The sequence below is a fragment of the Homo sapiens genome, chromosome 7, assembly GCF_000001405.40.
Source record: "Homo sapiens chromosome 7, GRCh38.p14 Primary Assembly".
Classification (NCBI taxonomy): domain Eukaryota; kingdom Metazoa; phylum Chordata; class Mammalia; order Primates; family Hominidae; genus Homo; species Homo sapiens.
Genome location: NC_000007.14, coordinates 134,098,471 through 134,103,378, shown reverse-complemented (window position 1 = coordinate 134,103,378; position 4,908 = coordinate 134,098,471). Strand labels below are relative to the sequence as shown.

Here is a 4,908-nt window from a genome sequence, read left to right as displayed (position 1 = left end):
GATATAGTATTTATATAATATATTATATTAATATAGTATTTATATATTATATTAATATAGTATTTATATGTTATATTAATATAGTATTTATATGTTATATTAATATAGTATTTATATAATATATTAATATAGTATTTATATAATATATTAATATAGTATTTATATATTATATTAATATAGTATTTATATAATATATTATGTTAATATTGTATTTATATAATATATTATATTAATATTGTATTTATATAATATATTATTTAATATATATTATGTAGTATATATATTATTAAAATTAACTTTGCTTGTTTCTTTTTACTTTTTTAAGTGTGGCTACTAGAAAGTTTAAAATTATTGGCTGGGCCTGGTGGCCCATGCCTGTAATCCCAGCACTTTAGGAGGCAGAGGTGGGCGGATCACCTGAGGTCAGGAGTTTGAGACCAGCCTGGACAACATGATGAAACACTGTCCCTACTAAAAATATAAAAAATTAGCCGGGTGTGGTGGTGGTCTCCTGTAATCCCAGCTACTTGGGAGGCTGAGGCAGGAGAATTGCTTGAAACCAACTGGGAGGTGGAGGTTGCAGTGAGCTGAGATCATGCCACTGCACTCCAGCCTGGGCGACAAGAGCGAAACTGTCCCTAAAAGAAAAAAAAAGAAAGTTTAAAATTACATGTGGCTTGTATTCTATTTCTATTGGAAGTAGTAAGTAGTTTGTTTGCTTGTTTGTTTATTTGTTTGTTTGTTTTAGATGCAGCCTTGCTCTTTCGCCCAGGTTGAAGTGCAGTGGTGCAATCTTGGCTCGCTGCAACCTCCGCCTCCTGGGTTGAAGTGATTCTCCTGGCTCAGCTTCCTGAGTAGCTGGGATTACAGGCACCCACCACCACGCCTGGCTAATTTTTGTATTTTTAGTAGAGACGGGGTTTCGCCATGTTGGCCAGGCTGGTCTCGAACTCCTTGCCTCAGGTGACCCACCTGCCTCAGCTACCAAAAGTGCTGGGATTACAGGCATGAGCCATGGCACCCGGCCTGAAGTAGTAAGTAGTTCTGATGGCAAGCCATCCTGTGTGATCTTATTCAATATTATTTGTCTTAATGAGTTTTGGTGACAACAGATCACATGTGGTATTTGTCACTTGTACCGGGCTTAATAAATACTTAAGAATGGAAGGTGTTAAGTAGGGTTGAGTGCGAGTTAGATTCTACTACCCCTCACTGTTTAGCTGAACCAGGCTTTTCTTACTGTACTTTAAAAAGGGCTTTCTTCCATTCTGGCGCTAAAAGAATCCAAGCTCTGTCCAGATGGGGCTGCTTCTCTCTTTCTCCAGATGCATCAATTAATAATACTTTGATAACCCGAGCTTCCTCTCTGTCGGAGAGCTCAGTATTCACCAGCTAATTAACTCTACAAAGAAAGCAGAGCTGCTGTCATCTCAAATGTTTCCACTTCTGCTTCCTGAGACAGCCAGGAGAGCAAAGCAAGAGATCACCCCTGTGGGCTGTGGGGACCTTGGGTTGGAGTTCCTGCAGCTGTTTTTCTAGTTGAGAGGGACCTTCCTTGACAAACAAGAGTACTTCATCCTTCTGAAGAGAGGGATGACTTTGCTGAAAGCAGCATTCAAGTAGTTTTTGCCACTGACCAGACCTTTTCTTTGTTAACAGTACTGAAGTGCACACACACCCACACACACACACACACATTTCACTAGATGAGAACAACCTCCAAATGGATTAATTGGGTGGGTTATTTTGTTTTTTGCTTTTTGTGTGTGTGTGTGTATGTTTTTTTGTCGTTGTTGTTGTTTTACCATTTCACTTCATTTCTTGTAGCGTAGAACCATTATTTTTTAGCTGCCTTCAAAAATTCAATTATCTTGTTTGGATGAATAATGGTGCATTTTCTCATAAGTCCAACTGCCTGCTGGACCCCTCCACCACCTCAGAGTCAATGTGCACAAAACCAACTCCTCCACCTCCCCAACGTGATGCTTCCTCCTAAATCTGCAAATGGCACCACTGTCCTCACAGTCACCAGGCTCAAATGTTGACCACGTTCCATTCAATTCCTTTCTCTCTCTTCCTGTGTCATGCAAGCATTTGCCAGGTCAACCTATCATTTCACCTCTTGTCTTTATCCCCTCTTCTCTGACCTTCTGCCCTTTTCCTAGTTCAGACCTGCTTTGCATAGTTTTCAGATGATGGCCAAGCTTCTCACCTGGGCTGCTGCTTGACTCTGTTTCTCCAAGGAGTTGCATCCGAGATCATCTTCCTGTGCAGGTGCCGATCAAGTCACTTCCTGGCACACAACCTGGTTCCCCATGATCTACATGCTAAGGTCAGCCACCTCAAATCATTTTAGGCCAAGATAGATAGAAGTAAATATTAACACAAAAGAAGCAAACTCTGCCAGATAAAAATGTAGATGTCTTTTTTTTTTTTTAGATGGAGTCTTGCTCTGTCACCAGGCTGGAGTGCAGTGCTGCAATCTCGGCTCACTGCAACCTCCACCTCCCAGGCTCAAGCGATTCTCCTGCCTCAGCCTCCCAAGTAGCTGGGACTACAGGTGCATGCCACCACGCCCAGCTAGTTTTTGTATTCTTAGTAGAGAAGGGGTTTCACCATGTTGGCCAGGATACTCTCTATCTCTTGACCTCGTGATCTACCTGCTTCGGTCTCTCAAAGTGCTGGGATTACATGCGTGAGCCACCGTGCCTGGCTCCAAAATTTAGATGTCTTTTCCAGCATTCAAAGCCTCTGTTACTTGGCCACAATAACCTTCCCATACATGGCTCCTTTACAGACCGTGGTTCCAGTAGAACCGAACTGCTGAATGCACTCAATATATAAATACATATTCTTACCCCAGTAAGCTCATGCTCTTCCTTCCGCTTGAGGTTCTCCTTTTCATCTCTAAAGATACAGTCCTACAAACCTGTATTTGTTTGCCAGGGCTGCTGTAACCAAGTACCACATGCTGGGTGGCTTAAAACAACAGAAATATATTGTCTCACAGTTCTGGAGGCGAGGAGTTCAAAATCAGGTTGTTGGTAGAGGCTTGCTCCCTCTGAAGGTGCTGGGGAAGGAGCTGTTCCAGGCCTCTTCCCTGGCTTCTAATGGTTCCTAGGCTTGTGGCAGCAGAACTCAAGTCTTCACACGGCATCTCCCTGTGTATGTGTCTGTCTCCAAATTTCCCCCTGTAGGAGAGAAAAAGGTATTTTCCTCACCCATTAACAAGGTTCATGGCTGAGACCACTATAACAAAAAGACATATCAGCAAGAAAAATGCATATTTTTTTTAAGTTTTATGTGACATGGTAGCCTTTAGAAATGAAGACCCAAAGAACCAGGGAAACCTGTGCAGAAGTGTGATGGGAGGGCCAGGTGCAGTGGCTCATGCCTGTAATCCCAGCACTTTGGGAGGCTGAGGCGGGTGGGTCACCTACGGTCAGCAGTTCGAGACCAGCCTGGCCAACATGGCGAAACCTTGTATCTACTAAAAATACAAAAATTAGCTGGGTGTTGTGGTGGGCACCTGTAATCCCAGCTACTTGGGAGACTGAGGCAGGAGAAGCACTTGAACCCAGGAGGTGGAGGTTGCAGTGAACTGAGATTTCGCCATCGCACTCCAGACTGGGTGACAAGAGCAAAACGGTGAAACCCCGTCTCTACTAAAAATACAAAAAATTAGCCTGGCGAGGTGGCGGGTGCCTGTAGTCCCAGCTACATGGGAGGCTGAGGCAGGAGAATGGCATGAACCCCGGGGGGCGGAGCCTGCAGTGAGCCAAGATCGTGCCACTGCACTCCAGCCTGGGTGACAGCGAGACTGTCTCAAAAAAAAAAAAAAAAAAAAAAAAAAAAAGAAGTGTGATGGGAGGAGCAAAGGCAACCATCTAATGGTAATACACTGGGGGGAACTAGAAGGCCTGTTTGTTCAGCTCCTTCTTGGTGTCCCTGTGTGACTTTCCTTCCCTCTAGGTATAAGACAGGACAGCTGTCACATGACGGTCTTCAGGAGAGAAGAGAGGGAGGTCAGAGAGTGGCCTTTCTAGGTTTTATGGCCTGCTTCAGGGACAAAGCATGAGGCGGATGGTGAAAATGACCTTCCTGCTTCTGCTGTTTTCTCAAATGCCAAAGTGCCACAATGTTGGTAGCATGTCCTGAGTCCCATCACCCTTTTTACAAGGACACCATTTATGGGATTAGAGGCTCACCTTACTCCAGTATGACCTCATCTTAACTAATTACATCTACAATAACCCTAATTCCAAATAAGGTCACATTCTGAGGTACTGGGGGGTTAAGACTTAAAATATGCATTTTGGCGGAGGACACAGTTCAACTCATAACACCATCCTTTAGGCCAAGCCCAAATGCCATCTCCTTCTGGAAACACCCTTGACCCTTTCCCCACCTCCCTACCCCAAGCTTGACATAAACTCTATCCCTCCTTGAATGCCTCTGGCCTAAGAAACTCTTACATCTTTACCATACTTGATGGCACAAAACACTGGCTTTGCATCTGAGTCAGGCACTGTGTTGGACGTGGCTCCAAGCTATTTTCTAAAGGTTTTCTCTTTCTCACACCCATGTCTCATCTCTCTTGGAAGATGGAGGACAAGAAGCATAAATACTTCAGTGAGAGCTCTTGTTGGCCCTGGGAACTGGCTGAATGTGATGTGTCCCTGCCATGACAGTTGTCCCCAGAACCAGAGGTAGAGTTCTGAAGATAGCTGTGAGGATTTCTTCACTTCCAACTGCTAGAGAGGCAGTACCTCCAACTGCTACCCCTGAAGTACTGATGTTCTCAGCTGTCCCCACCCCTCCACCCCAGCAACTTTCCCATGCAGAGCAGTTAATCTGCTATTTAAGATGCAGACCTAGCTTTCTTTTCACAGCCTGCTCAGCCACATT

General features: G+C 44.1%; 1 protein-coding gene across 2 annotated transcripts in view; it reads right to left on the bottom strand.

Moving 5' to 3' along the window:
• EXOC4 (exocyst complex component 4) overlaps nt 2,428-4,908 on the bottom strand; it is an 847,874-nt gene continuing 845,393 nt past the window's right edge. For both annotated transcript variants that reach the window (XR_007060126.1, XR_007060125.1), the window contains one exon: nt 2,428-3,191. The gene's annotated coding sequence lies outside the window, so the exon portion shown is untranslated. The remainder of the gene's footprint in view (nt 3,192-4,908) is intronic.